Consider the following 23,878-nt stretch of genomic DNA (forward strand, 5'->3'; position numbering starts at 1 on the left):
AAAAGTCCATGTTCTTAACCATTGCGTATACTGTCACTACAAGCCAGGAAGTACCCAAAAGATCATTCTAAATGATAGTAACTTTAATGGTGAACACTGATAGGCCATGTGCCAGGCACTCACACACATTGACTCATCAGAGCATCACAACACCCCATTATTATTCCTTCCATTTTAGAGATAAGAAAACTGAGGCCTAGAGAAGTGAAGTAACTTACCCCAGGGCTAAGTGGGAAGTGGCTCAAAAGCAAGCCGGTGTTCTAATCCAAGGTGATGAGAAGACCTGCCCCAGATAGCTGTGTTTGTTTTTGATCTTGTGAGTTAGAAATCTTGTGGGCTCCCGGGCTGGGCGCGGTGGCTCACACCTGTAATCCCAGCACTTTGGGAGGCCGAGGCTGGTGGATCACGAGGTCAGGAGATCAAGATCATATTGGCTAACATGGTCAAACCCTGTCTCTACTAAAAATATGAAAAAATTAGCCGGGCATGGTGGCACGCGCCTGTAGTCCCAGCTACTTGGGAAGCTGATGCAGGAGAATCGCTTGAACCCGGGAGGCAGAGGTTGCAGTGAGCCGAGATCGTGCCACTGCACTCCAGCCTGGGCAATGGAGGGAGACTCCATCTCAAAAAAAAAAAGAAAAGAAAAAGAAAACAAATCTTGCAGGCTCCCTGGCCTCTCCATAGGACCAGAACCCCACCCCTTTCGGCCCAGAAACCCAATTGGTTCCCCCAGAAAATAGGTAGAAGTCAGACTCACGTTAAAAAAAGTTTTATTTAGGGAGCTCCAGGGAATGCGGTGGGAAAGGAGAGGTGCAGTGTCATTGCCGCCCTCTCCTCCCACCTAGTGCATTAATAGTGGATGGGAGCATCTGACAGAAGTGAGATCAGGCAGTGGGTGTCTGCACCCCACAGCGCATGTTGGCTGGAACAGCAAAGTCTGAAAGGAAGAAATCAAGGTTAAAACTAAGGGGCCTAGGTAGAGTTCCAGGCCCCACTGGAGACCCAGAAATCCTAGGAACCTTTCCTCTTCAGGAAACTAGAGTTTTGGTCCTGAGCCCACTCCTTCCCTCAGACCCAGGAGTCCAGTACCCCAGCCCCTCCTCCCTCAGACCCAGGAGTCCAGACCCCCAGCCCCTCTTCCCTCAGACCCAGGAGCCCAGACCCCCAGCCCCTCCTCCCTCAGACCCAGGAGTCCAGTCCCCCAGCCCTTCCTTCCTCAGACCCAGGAGTCCAGTCCCCCAGCCCCTCCTCCCTCAGACCCAGGAGTCCAGTCCCCCAGCCCCTCCTCCCTCAGACTCAGGAGTTCAGACCCCCAGCCCCTCCTCCCTCAGACCCAGGAGTCCAGGCCCCCAGCCCCTCCTCCCTCAGACCCAGGAGCCCAGGTCCCCAGTCCCTCCTCCCTCAGACCCAGGAGTCCAGGCCCCCAGCTCCTCCTCCCCCAGTCCCTCCTCCCTCAGACCCAGGAGCCCAGGTCCCCAGTCCCTCCTCCCTCAGATCCAGGAGTCCAGGCCCCCAGTTCCTCCTCCCTCAGACCCAGGAGTCCAGGCCCCCAGTTCTTCCTCCCTCAGACCCAGGAGCCCAGGCCCCCAGCCCAGCCCCTCCTCCTTCAGACCCAGGAGTCCAGGCCCCCAGCTCCTCCTCCCTCAGACCCAGGACCCCAGGCCCCCAGCCCCTCCTCCCTCAGACTCAGGAGCCCAGGCCCCCAGCCCAGCCCCTACTCCCTCAGAGCCAGGAGTCCAGGCCCCCAGCCCCTACTGCCTCAGACCCAGGAGTCCAGTCCCCCAGCCCCTCCTCCCTTAGACCCAGGAGTCCAGGCCCCCAGCCTCTCCTCCCTCAGACCCAGGAGTCCAGGCCCCCAGCCCCTCCTCCCTCAGACCCAGGAGTCCAGGCCCCCAGCCCCTCCTCTCTCAGACCCAGGAGTCCAAGACCCCAGCCCCTCCTCTCTCAGACCCAGAAGTCCAGGTCCCCAGCTGCTCACCTATCTGCTGAGGTTTAGGCAAGTTCAGGTTGCCCATGATTTTGACAAACTCCTCACAGCTGAGGGTGAGCCGAGGGTTCAGAGTCCTCTCCTCCTCCACGGTGGACACTGTGAACCCTAGGGGCCAAGGGAGGGGAAGGAAAGTCAAGGAGTCTAGTGCCTCAGGCCTCTCAGAACTACATTCCCCAGGAGGCCTTGGGTGCCTCTCTGGCAGGGGCTCTTCCCAGAATATTCCTAAAATTGCTTTCCCTCCTCCATGGACACTATGGGAAATTTAGTTTTCCCCCAGTTCCCTAAGCTCCACAAGTAAGGCCCAGGAAAACCCATGCCCTGCAGAATTCTAGGCATCTGGCAGTCACATAGTTTCTACATCCACACACAGCAGGCTCAAGCACTTTATCTCTTTTTTTTTTTTTTTTTTTGAGACAGGGGCTTGCTGTGTCACCCAGGCTGGAATATAGTGGTACAATCATAGCTCACTGCAGCCTCAACCTCCCAGGCTCAAGCAATCCTTCTACCACAGCCTCCCAAGTAGCTGGCAGCATGCCACCATGCCTGGCTAATTTCTTGTATTTTGTAGAGGCAGGGTTTTGCCATGTTACTCCAGCTGGTCTCGAACTCACTCCTGGGCTCAAATGAGCCTCCTGCCTTGGCCTCCCAAAGTGCTAGGATTACAAGTGTGAGCCCCCTTGCCCAGCCTCAAACACTTAATTTTTTTTGGCCAGAGAAATTTCTGAGACTGGTCGTCTTCATGCCCTACAAGGATTACAGAGATTTACACTCCACTTTCAAAGTTATGTACGCCCCACACCTCTTCCAGGAAGCCCTCACCATGGTAATCGTGAGCAGGGTAGATCAGACAGTCTCCTGGAAGTGTGAAGATCTTTTCATGGACCGAGTGGTACAAGGTCTTGGCACAGCCTGGGGAAGGAAAGATCAGAGGTCAGTGGATCAACAGGACAGAAGACTCTAACCCCTTCCTTCAAGAAAAGGGTAGGAGGATAAAATCACTATAGCTAAACCCTCTCCTTCGTGTCCTGCCAATATCCCTTTGTCTAAGTAGAGAACAGGGAAAGGCATTCTAGGCAGATGGAACAGCATATACAAAGAATTGAGGAATGTCAAGAAATTCAGCATGGCTGTAAATAGGGTTGGAATGACACCGTGAAGCACCAAAGAGTGTCATTTGTGACCTTGGCTGTCACCCAGGGGATGTCAAGTAAGGGTTCTGAACAAGGAAGGTGGACTAGAAGGTAAGAAACTGAAGACAAAGCCAGGTGCAGTGGCTCATGCCTGTAATCCTAGCACTTTGGGAGGCTGAGGTGGGTGGACTACCTGAGGTCAGGAGTTCGAGACCAGCCTGGCCAACATGACAAAACCCTGTCTCTACTAAAAATACAAAAATTAGCCAGGCATGGTGACCCATGCCTGTAATCCCAGCTATTTGGGAGGCTGAGGCAGGAGAATTGCTTGAACCCAGGAGGCGGAGGTTGCAGTGAGCCAAGATCACACCACTGCCCTCCAGCCTGGGAGATAGAGCGCGGCTCTGTCTCAAGAAAAAAAAAAAAAAGGCTGGGCGCGGTGGCTCACGCCTGTAATCCCAGCACTTTGGGAGGCCGAGGTGGGTGAATCACAAAGTCAGGAGATCGAGACCATCCTGGCTAACATGGTAAAACCCTGTCTCTACTAAAAATACAAAAAAATTAGCCTGGCGTGATGGCGGGCGCCTGTAGTCCCAGCTACTCGGGAGGCTGAGGCAGGAGAATGGCGTGAACCCAGGAGGCAGAGCTTGCAGTGAGCCAAGATTGCACCACTGCACTCCAGCCTGGGCGACAGAGCGAGACTCCGTCTCAAAAAAAAGAAGAAGAAGAAGAAAGAAACTGCAGACATGAGGACATGAGGCCCAGGAGGAGAGTGTGAAGCCATGGTCCCCACAAGCAGCTCTGAGTCCTAAGTAGGGGGCAAACCTCTATTCCACCTTGCATTTCGGCCTAAATCCTTCAGCTTCCTGACTGTACTGTGAATGGATAAATGGGAGATTGGGAGCCTTGGAGAGAAAAAGACAGAGACTGAGATGCAGAGATAAGGAGAGAGGGAAGAGGGAGGAAGAGGCCTGGGGATGTGGCTTCCACGGCCATCTCATCATGGCTTCTGTCTTTCCCTCTCATCCAGCCTCACCTCTCCCCACAAGACAGCTAAATTCCAGGCCTAGTGTTAACCCCACATTCACACACATGCTCAAAGGATGGCCCAACCCTGAGATTCTGAAACTATACTCGCTTTCTACAGGGAAGCTCCTAAATCTAACTGCCCCTAGCAGCTAGACTCCAAATGGATCATTCATTGCTCCCTGGCAATTAAACCGCTGGCTTTAACAACTTCTTTTTTTATCTTTTTTTTTTTTTTTTTTGAGATGAAGTCTCACTCTGTCACCCAGGCTGGAGTGCAGTGGCGCAATCTTGGCTCACTGCAACCTCCGCCTCCTGGGTTCAAGTAAATCTCTGCCTCAGCCTCCCGAGTAGCTGGGACTACAGGCACCCACCACCATGGCCAGCTAATTTTTGTATTTTTAGTAGAGACGGGGTTTCACCATCTTGGCCAGGCTGGTCTTGAACTCCTGACCTCATGATCCACCTGCCTCGGCCTCCCAAAGTGCTGGGATTATAGGCGTGAGCCACCATGCCCAGCCCTTTGTTTTTTTTTTTTTTTTAGCTATATTTGTTTCTTAGAGAGGGAGTCTCACTATGTTGCCCAAGCTGGGCTCAAATAGGTAACTAACACACCCCTGAATCTAACTGTCCCCCAACAGCTAAGCCCCTGAATCTAACTCTTCCCATACTCTAGCATGGGGGTCCTTAACCCTGGGTACCGGTCCGTGGTCTGTTAGGAACTGGGCTGTGCAGAAGGTGGTGAGCGGTGGGTGAGTGAGCAAAGCTTCATCTGTAGTTACAGCCACTCCCCATCACTCCCGTTACCACCTGAGCTCTGCCTCCTGTCAGATCCGCAGCAGCATTAGATTCTCATAGGAGCACAAACTCTATTGCGAACTGCACATGCGAGGGATCTAGGTTGCGTTCTCCTTATGAGAATCTAATGCCTGATGATCTGTCACTATCTTCCGTCTCTCCCAGATGTGACCATCTAGTTGCAGGAAAACAAGTTCAGGGCTCCCACTGATTCTACATGATGGTGAGTTACATAATTATTTCATTATCTATTGCAATGTAATAATAAAGTGCACAATAAATGTAATGCATTTGAATCCCCGAAACTATGCCCTGCCATGGTCCATGGAAAAATTGTCTTCCACGAAACCGGTCCCTGGTGCCAAAAAGGTTGGGGACCACTGTTCTAGCAGGTAAACTCCTTGAATTTAATACTGAAGCCCCCTAAAAGTCTAATGTCCATCCATTCATTCTTGTAACAGATACTTCAACACTTGACACACACGTAACTATATGAAGATCTTGGGCTGGATAAAGGAGCTGGTCACCTTGCTGGAAGTCTGTCCGCCCACACCCACGGATCAACAGGGCATCTCCAGTGAAGGCCATGCTGTGGTCATTCAGGACGAAGGTGACACAGCCTGGGGTGTGGCCAGGGCTGGCCCTGGTCTCCAACGCCTGGCAGGGGTGGAAGAGTACAGAGATAGTCACCAAGAAGCCTTCTAGATGAAACTGGCCCCCAAAGCCCCACCCTACCCCAGGGTCTTATCTAGATAAACATTTTGGTAAAAAATGTAGATTCCCAGGCTGTAATCTTATATTATCAGAGTAAACTCCAAGTGGATTAAAGATTTAAATGCATGAAAAATAAAACCGCAAAGCTGTGACACACAACAACAAAAATACAAATAATATCTGACCTCTGGTTAGGAAGGTGATATGGTTTGGCTGTGTCCCCACCCAAATCTCATCTTGAATTGTAGCTCCCATAATCCTCATATGTCATGGGAGGGACCAGGCAGGAGGTAATTGAATAATGGGGGCAGGTTTTTCCCATGCTGTCTCGTGATGATGAATAAGTCTCACGAGATCTGATGGTTTTATAAAGGGCAGTTCCCCTGCACACTCTCTCTTGCCTGCTGCCATGTAAGACAGGTCTTTGCTCCTCCTTCGCCTTCCACCATGATTGTGAGGCCTCCCCAGCCATGTGGAACTATGAGTCCATTAAACCTCTTTTTCTTTATAAATGACCCAGTCTTAGGGATGTCTTTATTAGCAGCATGAGAAAAGACTAATACAGTAAATTGGTACCAGTAAAGTGGGGTGCTGCTATAAGGAGATGTGAAAATGTGACTTTGGAACTGGGTAACAAGCAGAGGTTTGAACAGTTTGGAAGGCTCAGAAGAAGACAGAAAAATGTGGGAAAGTTTGGAACTTCCTAGAGACTTGTTGAGTGGCTTTGACCAATATGCCGAGAGTGATATGAACAATGAAGTCCAGGCTGACATGGTCTTACATGGAGATGAGGAACTTTTTGGGAACTGGGGTAAAGGTCACTTTTGTTATGTGTTAGCAAAGAGACTGGCAGCATTTTGCCCCTGCCCTAGAGATCTGTGGAACTTTGAACTTGAGAGAGATGACTTAGGGTACCTAGTAGAAGAAATTTCTCAGCAGGAAAGCATTCAAGAGGTGACTTGAGTGCTGTTAAAAGCATTCAAGAGGTGACTTGAGTGCTGTTAAAAGCATTCACTTCAGTTTTATGTATTCACAATGATATGGTTTGGAATTGGAACCTATGTTTAAAAGGGAAATAGAGCATAAATGTTTGGAAAATTTGCAGCCTGACAATGTGATAGAAAAAAAAACCCATTTTCTGAGGAAAAATTCAAGCCTGCTGCAGAAATTTGTATAAGTAACGAGGAGCCAAATGTTAATCACCAAGACAATGGGAAAAATGTCTCCAGGGCATGTCAGAGGTTTTCACAGCAGCCTCTCCCAACACAGGTCCAAAGGACTAGGAGAAAAAATGGTTTCATGGGCAGGGCCCATGGCCTTGCTGTTTTGTGCAGTCTCAGGACTTGGTGCCCTGCATCCCAGTCGGGGCTAAAAGGGGCCAAGTACAGCTCAGGCCATTGCTTCAGAGGGTGCAAGCCCCAAGCCTTGGTGGCTTACACGTGGTGCTGGGCCTGCTGGTGAACAGAAGTCAAGAACAGAGGTTTGGGAGCCTCCAGCTAGATTTGAGAGGCTGTATGGAAATGCCTGGATGTCCAGGCAGAGGTGTGCTGCAGGGGTGAAGCCTTCATAGGGAACCTCTGCTAGGACAGTGCAGAAGGGAAATGTGGAGTGGGAGCCCCCACAGAGAGTTCCCACTGGGGCACTGCCCCTAGTGGAGCTGTGAGAAGAGGGCCATCGCCCTCCAGAACCCAGAGTGTTAGATCCACCGAGAGCTTGCACCATGTGCCTGGAAAAGCCACAGATACTCCACACCAGCCCGTGAAAGCAGCCAGGAGTGGGGCTGTACCCTGCAAAGCCAGAGGGGCAGAGCTGCCCAAGACCATGGGAACCCACCTCTTGCATCAGCATGACCTGGATTTGAGACATGGAGTAAAAGATCTTTTTGGAGCTTTAAGATTTGACTGCCCCACTGGATTTAGGACTTGCACGGAGCCTGCAGCCCCTTCATTTTGGCCAATTTCTTCCATTTAGAATGGATGTATTTACCCAATCCCTGGATCCCACTGTATCTATGAAATAACTAAACTTGCTTTTGATTTTACAGGCCCATAGGTGGGAGGGACTTGCCTTGTCTCAGATGAGACTTTATTTTGTTGTTGATTTTTTTTTTTTTTTGGAGACAGAATCTCACTCTGTCACCCAGGCTGGGATGGAGTGGTGCAATCTTGGCTCACTGCAACCTCTGCTTCCCAGGTTCAACCAATTCTTGTGCCTCAGCCTCCCGAGTAGTTGAGACTACAGGCATGTGCCACCATGCCTGCCTAATTTTTGTATTTTTAGTATAGACAGGGTTTTATTATTTTGGGAAAGCTGGTCTTGAACTCCTGACCTCAGCTGATCTGCCTGCCTTGGCCTCCCAAAGTGCTGAGATAACAGGTGTGAGCCACCATGCCCGGCCTCAGATGAGACTTTGGACTGTGGACTTTTGAGTTAATAGTGAAATGAGTTGAGACTTTGGGGGACTGTTGGGAAGGTATGATTGGTTTTGAAATGTGAGGACATGAGATTTGGGAGCGACCAAAGTGGAATGATATGGTTTGGCTGTGTCCCCACCCAAATCTCATCTTGAATTATAGCTCCCATAATCCCCATGGGTTGTGGGAGGGAGCCGGTGGGAGGTAATTGAATCATGGGGGTGGGTTTTTCCCATGCTATTCTCATGATAGTGAATAAGTCTCACAAGATCTGATGATCTTACAAACGGCAGTTCCCCTGCACACACTTTCTTGCCTGTCGCCATGTAAGCCATGCCTTCACTCCTGTTTTGCCTTCCACCATGATTGGGAGGCCTCCCAAGCCAGGTGGAACTGTGAGCCCACTAAACCCCTTTTTCTTTATAAATGACCCAGTCTTGGGTATGTCTTTTTTTTTTTTTTTTTTTTGAGACAGTCTTGCTCTGTCACCCAGGCTGCAGTGCAGTGGTGCAATCTTGGCTCACTGCAACCTCTGCCTCCCCAGTTCAAGCAATTCTCCTGCCTCAGCCTCCTGAGTAGCTGGGATTACAGGCATGTACCACCACACCTGGCTAATTTTTATATTTTTAGTAGAGATGGGGATTCACCATGTTGGTCAGGCTGGTCTCAAACTCCTGACCACGTGATCCACCTGCCTTGGCCTCCCAAAGTGCTGGGATTACAGGCGTGAGCCACCACACCCAGCCTTCAGGTATGTCTTTATTAGCAGCATGAGAACAGACTAATACAGAAGGGATATTCAAATGTGATACCTAAAGTGATAAATCATTAAGGAAAAGATCAGTCAGAAGGTTCTGAATGGCAGCAACACCATAAACAAAATCTAAAGAGAACCAATATGCTGGGAAAATATATTTGTAACATATACATACCACACAGTGGTCAATATACTTAATATACAAACAGATCTTGCAAACCAATTTTAAAAAGGTAAGCACACTAATATAAAAATGGAATACCCAACAGTCATTAAAAGCAATACCGTTGAAATAAAATTCAATGTTTTACACTTTTAAAAATAAAAAATAGGCAGTGGTGGCTGGGCGCTGTGGCTCATACCTGTAATCCCAGCACTTTGGGAGGCCGAGGCGGGCAAATCACCTGAGGTCAGGAGTTCGAGACCACCCCGGCCAATGTGGTGAAACCCCATCTCTACTAAAAATACAAAAATTAGCCAGGCATGGTGGCACATGCTTGTAATCCCAGCTACTTGGGAGGATGAGGCAGGAGAATTGCTTTAACCCGGGAGGCGGAGGTTGCAGTGAGCCAAGATTGCACCATCACACTCCAGCCTGGATGACAAGAGCAAAACTCCGCCTTAAAAAAAAAAAAAAAAAAAGACAGTGAAAAGGTAGCCCTCAGAGTGGAAAATGATATTTACAAACATAAACAGTAGTCCTTCCTTATCCGCAGGGGATACCTCCAAGAACCCAGTGGATATCTGAAACCTCAGATAGTACAAACCCTATAAATACTGTTTTGTTTTGTTTTGTTTTGGACGGAGTCTGGCTCTGTCACCCAGACTGGAGTGCAATGGCATGATCCTGGCTCACTGCAACCTCCCCCTCCTGGGTTCAAGTGATTCTCCTGCCTCAGCCTCTCAAGTAGCTAGGGTTACAGGTGCCCACCACCATGCCCAGATAATTTTTGTATTTTTTAGTAGAGACAGGGTTTCACCATGTTGGTCAGGCTGGTCTCAAGCTCCTGACCTCAGGTGATTCACCCGCCTCAGGCTCCCAAAGTGCTGGGATTACAGGCGTGAGCCACCGTGACCGGCCAATCTATGTTTTTTTTTCATCTGATAATCAAGAAGGCTACTAAGTGATTAACGAATGGGTAACATACTCCTATACAGCACAGATACACTGGACGTAGGGATAATTCATGTCCTGAGTGGGATGGTGTGAGATTTTATCATGCTACTCAGAACGATGTACAATTTAAAACTTACTAATTGTTTATCTCTGGAATTTTCCATTGAATATCTTCACGCTATGGTTGACCACAGATAACTAAAACCACAGAAAGTGAAACCACAGGTAAAGGAGTTGTACTGGATCCAACAAAGTTCTTGGATCCGGAATATATAAAGATCATCTACAAATCAAAATTACTGGGCAGTTTCTACTAAAGCTAAATCTACACATACCCTGTGGCTCAACCCTTGGTATACATGTGGTCCTTGACTTAAGATGGTCTGACTTATGATTTTTTTTTTTTTAACCAGAGTCTCACTCTGTCACCCAGGCTGGAGTGCAGTGGTGCGATCTCGGCTCACTGCAACCTCCGCCTCCCGGGTTCAAGCGATTCTCCTGCCTCAGCCTCCTGAGTAGCTGGGATTACAGGCACTCACCATCACACCTGGCTAATTTTTGTCTTTTTAGTAGAGATGGGGTTTCACCACATTGGCCAGGCTGGTCTCAAACTCCTGACCTCAAATGATCCGCCTGCCTCATCCTCCCAAAATGCTGGGATTACAGGTGTGAGTCAGCCACCATGCCTGGCTTTTTTTTCTTTCTTTTTTTCTTTTTTTTTTTTTTTTTTGAGATAGAGTCTCTCTCTGTCGCCCAGGCTGCGGAGTGCAGTGGCATGATCTCGGCTCACTGCAACCTCGGCCTCCTGGGTTGAAGTGATTCTTGTGTCTCAGCCTTCTGAGTAGCTGGGATAACAGGCACGCATCACTGTGTCTAGCTAATTTTTGTACTGTTATTTAGTAGAGACGAGGTTTCATCATGTTGACCAGGCTGGTCTTGAACTCCTGGCATCAAGCAATCTGCCCACACTAGCCTCCCAAAGTGTTGGGATTACAGGTGTGATGTGCCCGATGACTAACAATTTATTGACTTTACAATAATGTGAAAGTGATACATTTTATTTCTTTTTTTCATTTGTCTTTTTTTTTCTTCAGTAAAGATGGGCTCTCACTATGTTGACCAGCCTGGTCTTGAACTCCTGGCCTCAAGCAATCCTCCCATCTCAGCCTCTCAATGTGCTGGGATTACAGGCATGAGCCACTGCACCAAGCCAAAAGTGATACACTTTCAATAGAAATCATATTCCATGCACCCATACAGCCATTCTGTTTTTCACTTTCAATTCAGTATTCAATAAATTACATGAGATATTCAACACTCTTGTATAAAATACAAGGCTTTGTGTTAGATGAGTTTGCCCAACTGTAGGCTAATGTAAATGTTCTGACCACTTTAAGGTAAAGTAGGCTAACCTATAATGTTCAGTAGGTTAAATGTATTAAATGCGGCCAGGCACGGTGGCTCACGCCTGTAATCCCAGCACTTTGGGAGGCCGAGGCAGGTAGATTACTTGAGGTCAGGAATTTGAGACCAGACTGGTGAACATGGTGAAACCCCATCCATACTAAAAATACAAAAATTAGCCGAAGCCAGGCACGGTGGCTCGCCTAATCGCGACACTTTGGGAGGCCAAGGCAGGTGGATGACCTGAGGTCAGGAGTTCAAGATCAGCCTCGCCAACATGGTGAAACCCCATCTCCACAAAACATACAAATATTAGTCAGGCGTGGTGGTGATGTCTGTAATCCCAGCTACTCGGGAGGCTGAGGCAGGAGAATTGCTTGAACCCAGGAAGCGGAGGCTGCAGTGAGCTGAGATCACGCCACTGCACTCCACCCTGGGTGACAGAGTGAGACTCCGCCTCAAAAAAAAAAAAAAAATTAGCCAAGCATGCCAAGCGTGGTGGCACATGCCTATAGTCCCAGCTACTGGGGAGGCTGAGGCAGTAGAATTGCTTGAACTTGGGAGGCAGAGGTTACAGTGAGCAGAGATCATGCCACTGCATTCCAGCCTGAGTGACAGAGCAACACTCCGTCTCAAAAAAAAAAAACAAAAAACAAAAGTCAATATCCTCAGCTTGGGTGACAGAGCGAGACTGTCTCAAAAAAAAAAGTCAATATCCTGGGGCAAAAGGATATGAAACTGTTCTAGATCCAAAAAGATTTTTGATAAATAAAAAATAATAAATAAATAATAAAAAAGAAAACAAAACAAAAAGAAAAGAAGGAAAAAGAAAACACAAACACACACACAAAAGAGACTAAATAGACATAATGGCCAAACACTAAGCTCAATTGTATCCTGGTTCCTAAAAACAGCCGTAGGCTGGGCACCGTGGCTCACACCTATAATTACAGCACTTTGAGTCACCGAGAGGGGAAGATCATTTGAGCCCAGGAGATTGAGACCAGCCTGGGCAACATGGTGAGATCCTATCTCTACCAAAAAAAGAAAGAAAAAAGAAAAAAAAAGCTGTAAAAATTATTCCTCGGGTAATTGGAGACATCTGAACACAGCTGAATATTTAATAATGATATAAAGTTACTGCATATTGGCCGGGCGTGGTGTCTCACGCCTGTAATCCCAGTACTTTGGGAGGCCGAGACGGGCGGATCACGAGGTCAGGAGATCGAGACCATCCTGGCTAACATGGTGAAACCCCGTCTCTACTAAAAATACAAAAAAAAAAATTAGCTGGGCGTGGTGGTGGGCGTCTGTAGTCCCAGCTACTCGGGAGGCTGAGGCAGGAGAATGGCATGAACCCGGGAGGCGGAGCTTGCAGTGAGCCGAGATCGCACCACTGCACTCCAGCCTGGGCGACAGAGCGAGACTCTTGTCTCAAAAAAAAAAAAAAAAAAAAAAAGTTACTGCATATTTTGTTAGACGTGACAAAGGTTTTGTAAAAGAGGAAGTCTCAAAGTATAGCCTAGAGAACCCTGACATTCTGCAAAATCAAAACGATTTTTGGACTTTTTGCCCATTTTCACTCGCATTCCCCAAAAACATTTGGGGGAGAGGGGCGCGGTTCTAAAAGTTTCATGACCTATAGTGACATAATTGCTCTGATGGCTGATGAAATTTGTGCTTGTTTTTTTTTTTTTTTTTTTTTTTTTTTTTTGAGACAGTCTTGCTCTGTGGCCCAGGCTGGAGTGCAGTGGTGCGATCTCGTCTCACTGCAACCTCTACCTCCTGGGTGTTCAAGTGATTCTCATGCTTCAGCCTCCTGAGTAGCTGGGATTACAGGAGCGTGCCACCATGCCCGGTTAATTTTTGTATTTTTAGTAGGGACGGGGTTTCATCATGTTGGCCAGGCTGATCTCAAACTCCTGACCTCGGGTGATCCGCACACCTCGGCTTCCCAAAGTGCCAGGATTACAGGCGTGAGCCACCGCGCCCGGCCTGTGCTTGTGTATTGTTATATTTTGTACTATTATTTCAATGTAGATTTTAAAAAATTCAAAATAAGAAATTGTGGGTGGGGAACATATAACATCTTGACCTAAAGCAGCCTTCATTGTCCCTGAAACTTGTCGAGTGATTTCCGCAACAGCCCAGCCTGCCTAACCCCAAATTCTTTCAACAAATTCATTCTTCCCTTCCATGATGCATCATGTCTGTGACACATCCCCAGAGCTTTTCTTTCATCTGTTGCCTGCAGCAGCTAAACCTGAAACTACCCCCATCAAAGAAACATAACCCAGAAGGAATCCTGTAAAGCATTCAGCTTGCTGGCCTTGGAGTTCCCACGGCCTACACTGCCCCCTGGTGGCAAGTAAGCTCTCAGCTTCTTTTCCATTTGGTTCCCAAGTTCTTTCCCTTCATTACTCAAAACTATAGTAAACACCTCTTATCTGCCTGGGATACATTTCAAGACCCGGAGTGGATGCCTAAAACCGCAGATAGTACAGAACCCTACACACTATGCTTTTTCCTATACATACGCACCTATGATAGAGTTTAATTTATAAATTAGGCACATTAATAAATCAATAATAACTAATAATAAAATAGAACAATTACAGCAAGGCATGATGGTGCACGTCTGTAGGCCCAGCTACTTGGGAGGCTGAGGCGGGAGGATCACCTTAGCCAGGGTTCAATACCAGCCTGGACAACATAGCGAGACCCCCACCCAAAAAAAAAAAAAAAAGAATAGGTCGGACACAGCAGCTCAAACCTGTAATCTTAGCACTTTGGGAGGTCAAGGCAGGTGGATCACTTGAGGTCAGGAGTTCGAGACCAGCCTGGCCAACATGGTGAAACCCCATCGCTACTAAAAATCTTTTAAAAATCAATTAGCTGGGTGTGGTGGCACTCGCCTGTAAATCCAGCTACTGCTACTCGGGAGGCTGAGGCAAGAGAATCGCTTGAACCCAGGAGGCAGAGGTTGCAGTAAACCAAGATTGTGCCACTGTACGCCAGCCTGGGCAACAGAGTGAGACTCCATCTCAAAAGAAAAAAAGATGAAGTGATGGATGGTTAGAGATGTACACTGTAAAAAAAAATTTTAAGCCTGGTGCAGTGGCTCACTCTAATCCCAGCACTTTGGGAGGCCAAGGAGGGAGGATTGCCTGAGCCCAGGAGGTCGAGGCCAGCCTGGGCAATGTGGCAAAACTCTGTCTTTACAAAAAACACAAAAACTAGCCAGGAGTGGTGGTGCACACCTGTAGTTCCAGCTATTTGGAAGCCTGAGGCAGGAGGATCGCTTGAGCCAGGAGGTTGAGGCTGCAGTGAGCTATGATTGCACCACTGCACTCCAGCCTGGATGACAAAGTGAGACCCTGTCTCAAAAAAAAAAAAAAATTTTTTTTCAGCTTTTCTCTATGCTTGAAATTTTTCATAATAAAATGTTGGAAGAAAAATTACTCGTTTCACAATGTTAAAAGGAGGAAGTATTGAAACCCACACTTGAGCCACATAAGAATCAATGGTGGAGCTTTTAAAACATGCCAATTCCTTGTGTCCACCCAGAACAATTAAATCAGACTCTCTGATTCTAAGGGACCTGGGGGATCAGTGTTTTCAGCAGTACTTCTCTAAGCCAGCATATTTAACAGCAAACCTAACTTTCTGATTCGGCCACCCTGTGGCAGCTAAGATGTTCACTTCTCAATCAGTTTATTAAAAAAAGAAAACTTGGGCCAGGTGCGGTGGCTCACTCCTGTAATCCCTGCATTTTGGGAGGCTGAGGCACGCAGATCACTTGAGGCCAGGTGCTCACGACCAGCCTGGCAGTATGGCGAAACCCCATCTCTAATAAAAACATAAAATTTAGCCAGATGTGGTGGTGCGCACCTGTAATCCCAGCTACTGGAGAGGCTGAGGCAGAAGGATCACCGAAAGGCGGAGGTTGCAGTGAGCCGAGACTGCGCCACTGCACTCTAGCCTGGGTGACAGAGTGAGGCTCTGTCTCAGAAAAAAAAGAATTACTCCTGTTTTGGCGATCCACTGCCTTGTAGCGTCATCATGTATTAAACAGTCCCCTGCTGTGTACTTTGTCCCCTGCCCTACACCCCTGCTGTCTTTTGTGCACATGAGCAAGGGTGTCTCTGGGCTTCACACCTAGAAGGGGAACCTCTGGGTTGGAGATCCTGAAGGCAGCCAGCTAATCCTTGAAACAGCCTCAAGAGGAAGGTGCTGTGATAAACCCTGTGTTTTAGCGCAGGGAACTGAGGCTCCCAGAGGGAGGCAGAGATTGCAGTGAGCCAAGATTGTGCCACTGCACTCCAACCTGGGGGACAGAGTGAGACTCTGTCTCTAAAAAAAAAAAAAAGAAAGAAAGAAAACTCATTCTACAATGAAACCACTTAAATTTGTCCCATCTTTTATGTAAGATGAACAACCAGTTCAAGAAACTGGGAGTTTCTATGAAAATTAAACATTTGTCGACTCAGTGACCCAGAAAATCCAGTCCTTAGAATTCATGACAATGTTCCCTAAGATATTAGCAGAAGAATCTTCATAGCAGCATTATTCGTGGTAGCCAAAAACTGAATAATCAGAAGGAAAATAGGGTGTAGTGGCTCATGCCTGTAATTCACTTTGTACTTTGGGAGGCTGAGGCAAGGAGGATCGCTTGAGCCTAGGAGCCACCACAACCTGCCCATTTTGTAGGGCAAAAATTATGGCCAGTGGACCAAATTTGGCCTGCCATCAGTTTTTGTAAGGCCTGTAAGCTAAGAATCATTTTAACTTTTTTTCACATTGAAAACTATCAAAGTAACATGTAAAAACTAGATGGGGCTCACACCTGTAATCCCAACACTTTGGGAGGCCGAGGCAGGAGGGTTGCTTGAGGCCTGGAGTTTGAGACCAATCTGAGCAACACAGCAAGACTCAGTCTCTACAAAAAATTGTTTAAAAATTAGCTGGGCATGGTGGCACATGCCCATAGTCCCAGCTACTCAGGAGGCTGCGGTAGGAGGATCACTTGAGCCCAGGAGTTGGAGGCTGCAATGAGCTATGCTCACGCCAGTGCATACCAGCTTGGGCAATAGAACAAGAGCCTGTCTCAAACAAATTTAAAAAAAAACCTATATGAAATCCAAATTTTATTTTTTATTTTATTTATTTATTTTTTTTGAAATGGAGTTTTGCTCTTGTCACTCATGCTGGAGTGCAATGGCACCATCTGGGCTCACTGCAACCTCCACCTCCCGGGGGAGGTTCAAGCGATTCCCCTGCCTCAGCCTCCTGAGTAGCTGGGAATACAGGCACACCCCACCACGCCCAGCTTATTTTGTATTTTTAGTAGAGATGGGGTTTCACCATGTTGGTCAGGCTGGTCTCGAACTCCTGACCTCAGGTGATCTACCCACCTCAGCTTCCCAAAGTGCTGGGATTACAGGCATGAGCCTGACCTAAAATCCAAATGTAGAGGCCACAAATAAAGTCTTATTAGAACACAGCCATGCCTATTCATTTATGCAGTGTCTGTGGCTGCTTTCATGCCACAATAAGAGAGCTGAGTAGCTGTCACAGAGACCCTACTACCTGTAAAAACTGAAAATATTTACTATCTGGTCCTTCACAGAAAAAGGTGGCCAACTGCTGCTCTATAGCAATAAGAAGGAAAGAACTCCAAGTATAAACCAACATCATGTAGAGTGGAAAAAAGGCCAGACACAAAAGAGTACACTGTATAAGTCCTGTTTATAATGTCAGAACAGGCAAAACCGGCCTGTGGTTAAATGCATCAGAAGAATGGTGCCTTAGGAGGGCGGTCATTGGCCAGAAAGGGAGGCAAGGAAGACTTCTGGGGTGATGGGCAAGTTCTGTATCGGGATCTGGGTAAGTACTCATACACATGTATAATATGTGGACTCCTTTCATTCCATGAATGTTAACAACTCGGTTTTGTTTGTTTGTTTGTTTGTTGAGATGGAATCTCGCTTTGTCACCCAGGCTGGAGTGCAGTGGTGCGATCTTGGCTCACTGCAACCTCTGCCTCCCGGATTCAAGCAATTCTCCTCCTGCCTCCTCAGCCTCCTGAGTAGCTGGGATTACAGGTGCCTCACCACCATACCGCTTAATTTTTGTATTTTTAGTAGAGACAGGGTTTCACCATGTTGGCCAGGCTGATCTCGAACTTCTGACCTCAAGTGATCCGCCCACCTCAGCCTCTCAACGTACTGGAATTACAGGCATGAGCCACCACACCCAGGCTAACAATTCATTTTTTTAAAGTAGAAGGAAAAATAAAGGAGAGAAAAATGGACCCCCATCTCCAAAATCTCAGACAAGCCAGCCATGGTGGCTCACGCCTATAATCCCAGCACTTTGGGGAGGTCAAGGTGTGCAGATCACCTGAGGTCAGGAGTTTGAGACCAGCCTGGCCAACATGGTGAAACCCTATCTCTACTAAAAATACAAAAATTAGCCAGACATGGTGGCACATGCCTGGAATCCCAGCTATTTGGGAGGCTGAGACAGCAGAATCGCTTGCGCTCAGGAGGCAGAGGCTGCAGTGAACTGAGAGCTTGCCATTGCACTCCAGCCTGGGTGACAGAGCAAGACTGTCTCAAAAAAATAAATAAAAATGTGCCTGGGCGCAGTGGCTCATGCCTGTAATCCCAACACTTTGGGAGGCCAGGGCGCGCGGATCACCTGAGATAGGGAGTTGGAGACCAGCCTGACCAATACGGAGAAACCCCGTCTCTACTAAAAATACAAAATTAGCTAGGCATGGTGGCGCATGCCTGTAATCCCAGCTACTCGGGAGGCTGAGGTTGCGCTAAGCTGAGATAGCGCCATTGCACTCCAGCCTGCGCAACAAGAGCAAAACTCCATCTCAAATAAATAAATAAATAAATAAAACAAAAAAATTTGCTGGGCTTGGTGGCGCACGCCTGTAATCCCTGCTATTTGGGAGGCTGAAACAAGAGAATCACTTGAACCCGGGAGGTGGAGGTTGCAGTAAACCAAGATCGCACCACTGCACTCTAGCTTGGGCAACAAAGTGAGACCCTGTCTCAAATTAAAAAAAAAAAAAAAAAAAAGTTGCCTAAGGCTGAGGGGGGAAAAGGGAAGGATAGGGGTGATGGCTAAGGGGTGTGGGGTCTTTTTGGAGTAATGGAAACATTTTCCAATTAATGGTAGTAATGGATGTACAACTCTGAATATACTAAAAGTCATTGAATTGTGCACTCGAAATAGATAAATTATATGGTATGTGGGTTATATCAATAAAGCTATTAAGCCTGGGCAACATAGTGAGATTACAGCTCAACAAAAAATTAAAAAATTAGCCAGGTATGGTGGCAGGTGCTTGTAGTCCCAGCTACTTAGGAGGCTGAGGCATGAGGATCACCTGAGCCCAGAAGGTCAAGGCTGCAGTAAGCTATGATCCCACCATTGCACTCCAGCCTGGGTGACAGAGCAAGACCTTTTCTCAAAAACAAACAAACAAACAACAACAACAAAAAAGGGTGGGTGCAGTGGCTCATGCCTGTAATCCCAGCACTTTCAGAAGCCCTGTAATCCTAGCACTTTAGGAGGCCAAGGTAGGAGGATCACTTGTGCCCAGTAGTTCAAGACCAGCCTGGGCAACATAACAAAACCCTGTCTCTACAAGAACATACACAAATCAGCCAGGCGTGCTGGTGCATGCCTGTGGTCCCAGCTACCAGGGAGGCTAAGGTGGGAGGATCACCTGAGCCTGGGAGGTCAAGGCTGACTGCACTCCAGCCTAGGTGACAGAGACCCAGTCTCAAATAAAAAAAAAAAAGAAAGAAAGAAAGAAAGAAAAAAAAAAAACACTGAAGCTAAATCTACCATAGCTAAACCCTTCGTTCATTTCAAGACATGTTTGTTAGCACCTATTATGTACAATGTACATACATGTACAATGCATTTTTGCCTGCTTCCAGAGAAAGGCTTGAAATAAAGCTTCTGTAACCATTGTAGCTGAACTCTCTTCCCACACACAGCCCTCATTTCCTCTAAACACTCTGACTCAAATGAACTGTCCCTATTTGGCAAAACTCTCTAACCTGGAGGCTGTCTTCTGTCACCTGACATTCTGTCCCCAAAGTCAGCCAAACTTTATTATACATCTTTAGCAATTGATCAGAAGAATGCCCTGCCAGCTGTTTCCCTCTCTCTGAGGGCAACTCCCCTGGCCCTCCCTCCTTCGGCCTGGTTGCAATTCTGGCCGGAAACCCGCTGGTGCCTGTGGCAAATAAAGTGAGGAAGGCAGGAACCTTTAGACTTCCCAGTGTGAGGCAACGGCAGGGCTAGGACTAGGGTGAGGCTGTTGGTGCAAGATTTAAGGAGGCGCTCACTCACAGGTGCGGACCCTGCACTTACAGGACCCTGAGAGCGAGTGCCTCCTTAAATGTTGCACTCCAGGGTCCTCACCGTCCTTTTCCTAGTCCTGGGCTCCGGGTTCTAAGCACCCAGATGCTCCTTCCTCAAACGGAGGTTTCCGCAAGACAGGACTGGGTCTCTTTCCTTCTCAGCCCTGCCCTCAGAATTCCAGCCCCTAATCAACTTTTATGGAGATGCATGCCAGGCCAAAGGGCTGCCCCTAAGCTTTAGGAAGGAAACTCCTTAAATGCTGTTGACTTAGGAGTTCCGCCAGTGCCCCACCTGCCCAGAGCCTCTTGCCCCAGTGCCCCACCTGGGTTTATGGTGCCCCCCTCCCAGAAATATGAGCTCAGGGGTCAGAAACCCAGGTCCTGAGGTCCCTCCTCCCCAAGGACTCAGGATCCCAGGCCCCCAGTCCCCTCTTCCCTTAAGTTTAAGAAGTCCAGGCCACCACCCTCTTGGGGACCCAGCACCCAACTCACGAAGCGCCCGAAGCGGATGGAGTCTCCATCCTCAATGTGTAAGTCAGCCTGGGCCCCACTAAGGCGGGAGATGACAGACTGGCAGCCAGGGAGGAGGGAACGGAGCAGCCCCGAGCCTGTAATGTGGTCCGCGTGGCAGTGGGTATTCACTGGGAGAGAGAGGAGGGACAGGTCCGGAGGGTACAGAAAGGACCTGGGAGTCCCAGCCCAGATCCTTCTCCCTCAGACTCAGGAGTTCTGGGCCCCAGCTTCCCATTCCACTGACGCTGCAGCCCAGCCCCGCTGGGATCCATGAGTTTGGTCCCCGGACTGACCAGCATAGAGCAGCCGCAGCCCCAGCTCCTTGATCAGCTGGGCATCCCGAGGCGCTGTTTCCAGGACTGGGTCGATCAGAACGGCCTCCCGGGACTCTCTGTCACCCAGCAGGTACGTGAAGGTGCAGCTCACAGGCTCGAACATCTGGGAACGGGGGACCCAGGTGAGGGCGCAGAACCGGACTTCCACCCACTGGAGGCCAAGTAGTCCAGACTGACCCTATCCTCTTCCTAAGATCCAGAAGCAGAAACCCCAGCCCACTCTTTCCCCGGGAGTCGGGAGTCCGGAGCCCCACTACCTTCCCCTATCAGAACAAAAGAGTTCCAACTTCCTAACATCCCAAAATCAGGGTCCCCAGCACGTTCTTTCATAGAGGACCCAGGGGTCTGGCCCCAAGCCCAGAGGCCCCCAGACCACTCACCTTTAAAGGACCCAAGAGTCCAGCCCTAAACCTCCACCCCGCTTTCCGCAAGATGCAGGCGTGGGTCCCCCCGGATCTCTCCCTATTAAGAGACCCCGGAGTTCCGTCCTTGCTGCCGCCTAGTGCCCAGCAGTCCCCTCCTAGGTCCAGCCACCCGCACCTGCCGCAGGAGGATGGGGGCTCCAGACCCGCCGCGCTGGCTCAGCTGCCGCCGGGCGACCCTCAGTACAGCCTCCGCCATCGCGCCCACTGCGGGGTCAGGAATGAGCGGAGGCCGAGCGCCTGCAGGAGCCGGGCGCTACGGCACTGACCCCGGGAAGGGCGGGGCGGGGGCGGAGCACGCCTTAAAGGGGCCACGGACGCCTGGGGCAGAGGGCGGGGGACCGCCGAGCGGGACTGGGGCGAGGGCGAGACCGAGGAAAGCCAGAGTGCAATGCCTGGACGCTTTGAGACCCAGAAAAAACAGAGAACAGGGAGACACTCAAAGTGCGAGGGACAGACGCTCAGAGACACACAGACATACTCATGTAGGAACAGAGATAGGGAGAGAAGTAGAAACCCAGGGAGAGGCCCCAGTACACTCATAGCCTCGGGGCCGTTTTTTTTCCTTTTTCTTTTGTTTTATTTTGAGACAGAGTCTCGCTCTGTCACGCAGGCTTGAGTGCAGTGACTCGATCTCAGCTTACTACAGCCTTAAACTCCCGGGTTCAAGCGATCCTCCAACCTCAGCCTCCCGAGTAGCTGGGACTATGGCACGTTGCCACCACACCCGACATTTTATATATATATATTTATATCTATATATATATTTATATACATATATATATATACACACACACACACACATACATGTATATAAAATTTGTTTTTTGCAGAGACGGAGTTCTCACTATGTTGCCCAGGCTGATCTCGAACTCCTGAGCTCAAGCGTTCCTCCCACCTTGTCCTCCCAAAGTGCTGGGATTACAGACGTGAGCCACCGCGTCCCGTGGGGCCGTTTTCTAGCAGGTGGTAGGATAGTCATGGTTAGAAAAAGATGTTCGGTTCCGGGAGGCAGAGGTTGCAGTGAGTAGAGATGACGCCACTGCACTCCAGCCTGGGCGACAGAGGGAGACTCTGTCTCAAAAAAAAAAGATATTCGTTCGGTTCCAGGTCATTAATATCTTGAGGGACTTTTGAGTGGGTGCCTGGTTACCAGAACAACACTTGATCCCATTAAAGTTCATCCAGAAATTGCATAAGCATTTTATCAGGAATGTTTCTCTCTTTCCAGGAAGAAATCTTAAAAAAAAAAAAAAAGATAATTTTGCATTATCTCTTGAATAATCAGATTGGGGATTATTCATCTTCTGTTGGGGTGTGAACCTCTGAAAAGAGCTTGTGTTCATTTACACCAAGGACCTGGGGCTGAAAAACTGTAGTCTCAAGTCATGAGCTGTCAGAAAGTCTGCTCTTTGTAATCGTAGCAGTAGTGAGAATAGGACATCCCACTCTCATCTGGAGGATCTATGTCACTTTGTGACATCAGAGCAGCCTTGATTTCCAGCCTAGGGGCAGAGCTTTTTTTTTTTTTTTTAATTGTTAGAATTTTTTTTGTAGAAACAGGGGTCTTGCTATGTTGCCTAGGCTGGTCTCCAGCTCCTGGCCTCAAATGGTCCTCCCACCTGGGCCTCCCAAAATGCTGGGATTACAGGTATGAACCACTGAGTTATCCTGTCCCACAGCTTCTGAGGAGGGGTTTCCTGCAACAACATTTATCTTAATTCTGGAGTTTCCAGGGAATGGTCCCTGGAGCTATTTTCAGAGCAGCCCCTGTGTGAATGCCTTTACACAGAGAAGGCCTGCTTTTCCTTAAGCCTATCAAATTGCTTCATTAAAATTTTATGTGGCCGGCTGGGCGCGGTGGCTCATGCCTGTAATCCCAGCACTTTGGGAGGCTGAGGCGGGCGGATCACGAGGTCAGGAGTTCAAGACCAGCCTGACCAACATGGTGAAACACCATCTCTACTAAAAATATAAAAATTAGCTGGGTGTGGTGGTGCACACCTGTTATCCCAGCTACTCAGGAGGCTGAGGCAGGAGAATTGCCTGAACTCGGGAGGTGGAGGTTGCAGTGAGCTGAGATCGTGCCACTGCATTCCAGCCTGGGTGATGGAGACTCCATCTCAAAAAAAAAAAAAAAAAAAAAAAAAAAGCATATGGCTGAGCTCATGCACAGGCACTTTGAGCACTTTGGGAGGCCTAGGTGGGCAGATCACTTGAGGTCAAGAGTTTGAGACAGCCTGGCCAACATGGTAAAACCCCATCTCTACTGAAAAAAATAAAATAAAATACAAAAAAATTATCTGGGCGTGGTGGGGCACGCCTGTAGACCCAGCTACTTGGGAAGCTGAGGCATGAGAATCATTTGAACCCAAGAGGCAGAGGTTGCAGAGTTTGCAGTGATCCAAGATTGCACCTCTGCAACATAGCAAAACCCTGTCTGGGCAACAGAGCGAGAGTGTCTAAAAAAAAAAGGCCAGGTGCGGTGGCTCACGCCTGTAATCCCAGCACTTTGGGAGGCCAAGGCGGGTGGATCACGAGGTCAGGAGATTGAGACCATCCTGGCTAACACGGTGAAACCCCGTCTCTACTCAAAAAAAATACAAAAAATTAGCCGGGCATGGTGGCGGATGCCTGTAGTCCCAGCTACTCTCGAGGCTGAGGCAGAAGAATGGCGTGAACCCGGGAGGCGGAGCTTGCAGTGAGCCGGGATCGTGCCACTGCACTCCAGCCTGGACGACAGAGCGAGACTCCGTCTCAAAAAAAAAAAAAATTCCAGGCATGAGGTCTCATGCATGCCTGACTCAAGCTAGACAAAGCTGAGGACCCAGAGGTGACTCAGTCTGGCTGGTAGGCGAGAGAGGT

General features: G+C 48.6%; 1 protein-coding gene across 5 annotated transcripts, besides 6 other annotated features; it reads right to left on the bottom strand.

The window, feature by feature from the left end:
• Positions 754–21,236, bottom strand: ETHE1 (ETHE1 persulfide dioxygenase). 5 transcript variants are annotated; one of them, NM_001320867.2, is made up of 7 exons: positions 21,132–21,236; positions 20,550–20,694; positions 20,236–20,351; positions 5,472–5,601; positions 2,810–2,899; positions 1,979–2,095; positions 754–937 (listed from the first exon to the last, which is right to left on the bottom strand). In NM_001320867.2, exons 1-7 carry the CDS (start codon positions 21,210–21,212, stop codon positions 885–887), a joined length of 732 nt encoding a protein of 243 aa, NP_001307796.1. In that variant the 5' UTR covers positions 21,213–21,236; the 3' UTR covers positions 754–884. The 5 variants fall into 5 exon arrangements, with proteins under 5 accessions (NP_001307796.1, NP_055112.2, XP_005258744.1 ...); NM_014297.5 differs by having other exon boundaries at positions 20,236–20,384; XM_005258687.5 differs by having other exon boundaries at positions 20,236–20,384; positions 20,972–21,236.
• Positions 7,188–7,688: an enhancer, noted in NCBI's record as "H3K4me1 hESC enhancer chr19:44017305-44017805 (GRCh37/hg19 assembly coordinates)". NCBI's record gives its function as "activates a minimal SCP1, AML or CMV promoter by ChIP-STARR-seq in naive H9 embryonic stem cells {active_cell/tissue: H9 hESC(naive)}" and the evidence as "EXISTENCE:reporter gene assay evidence [ECO:0000049][PMID:30033119]".
• Positions 19,688–19,847: a silencer, noted in NCBI's record as "silent region_10720". NCBI's record gives its function as "represses an Ori minimal core promoter by ATAC-STARR-seq in GM12878 lymphoblastoid cells {active_cell/tissue: GM12878}" and the evidence as "EXISTENCE:reporter gene assay evidence [ECO:0000049][PMID:35858748]".
• Positions 19,882–20,387: an enhancer, noted in NCBI's record as "H3K4me1 hESC enhancer chr19:44029999-44030504 (GRCh37/hg19 assembly coordinates)". NCBI's record gives its function as "activates a minimal SCP1, AML or CMV promoter by ChIP-STARR-seq in primed H9 embryonic stem cells {active_cell/tissue: H9 hESC(primed)}" and the evidence as "EXISTENCE:reporter gene assay evidence [ECO:0000049][PMID:30033119]".
• Positions 20,388–20,892: an enhancer, noted in NCBI's record as "H3K4me1 hESC enhancer chr19:44030505-44031009 (GRCh37/hg19 assembly coordinates)". NCBI's record gives its function as "activates a minimal SCP1, AML or CMV promoter by ChIP-STARR-seq in primed H9 embryonic stem cells {active_cell/tissue: H9 hESC(primed)}" and the evidence as "EXISTENCE:reporter gene assay evidence [ECO:0000049][PMID:30033119]".
• Positions 20,408–20,587: an enhancer, noted in NCBI's record as "active region_14725". NCBI's record gives its function as "activates an Ori minimal core promoter by ATAC-STARR-seq in GM12878 lymphoblastoid cells {active_cell/tissue: GM12878}" and the evidence as "EXISTENCE:reporter gene assay evidence [ECO:0000049][PMID:35858748]".
• Positions 21,198–21,387: a silencer, noted in NCBI's record as "silent region_10721". NCBI's record gives its function as "represses an Ori minimal core promoter by ATAC-STARR-seq in GM12878 lymphoblastoid cells {active_cell/tissue: GM12878}" and the evidence as "EXISTENCE:reporter gene assay evidence [ECO:0000049][PMID:35858748]".

The sequence above is a fragment of the Homo sapiens genome, chromosome 19 (genome assembly GCF_000001405.40).
Source record: "Homo sapiens chromosome 19, GRCh38.p14 Primary Assembly".
NCBI lineage: Eukaryota > Metazoa > Chordata > Mammalia > Primates > Hominidae > Homo > Homo sapiens.

Excerpts from the sequence above, each read along its gene's own strand:
- ETHE1 (NM_014297.5), bottom strand. The coding sequence starts at position 21,212 with ATGGCGGAGGCTGTACTGAGGGTCGCCCGGCGGCAGCTGAGCCAGCGC. Across the intron at positions 5,602-20,235 it reads CCATCCGCTTCGGGCGCTTC|GCGTTGGAGACCAGGGCCAG; the intron begins GTGAGTTGGGTG and ends CACCCCTGCCAG. Across the intron at positions 2,900-5,471 it reads GCGGACAGACTTCCAGCAAG|GCTGTGCCAAGACCTTGTAC; the intron begins GTGACCAGCTCC and ends TTCCTTCCCCAG.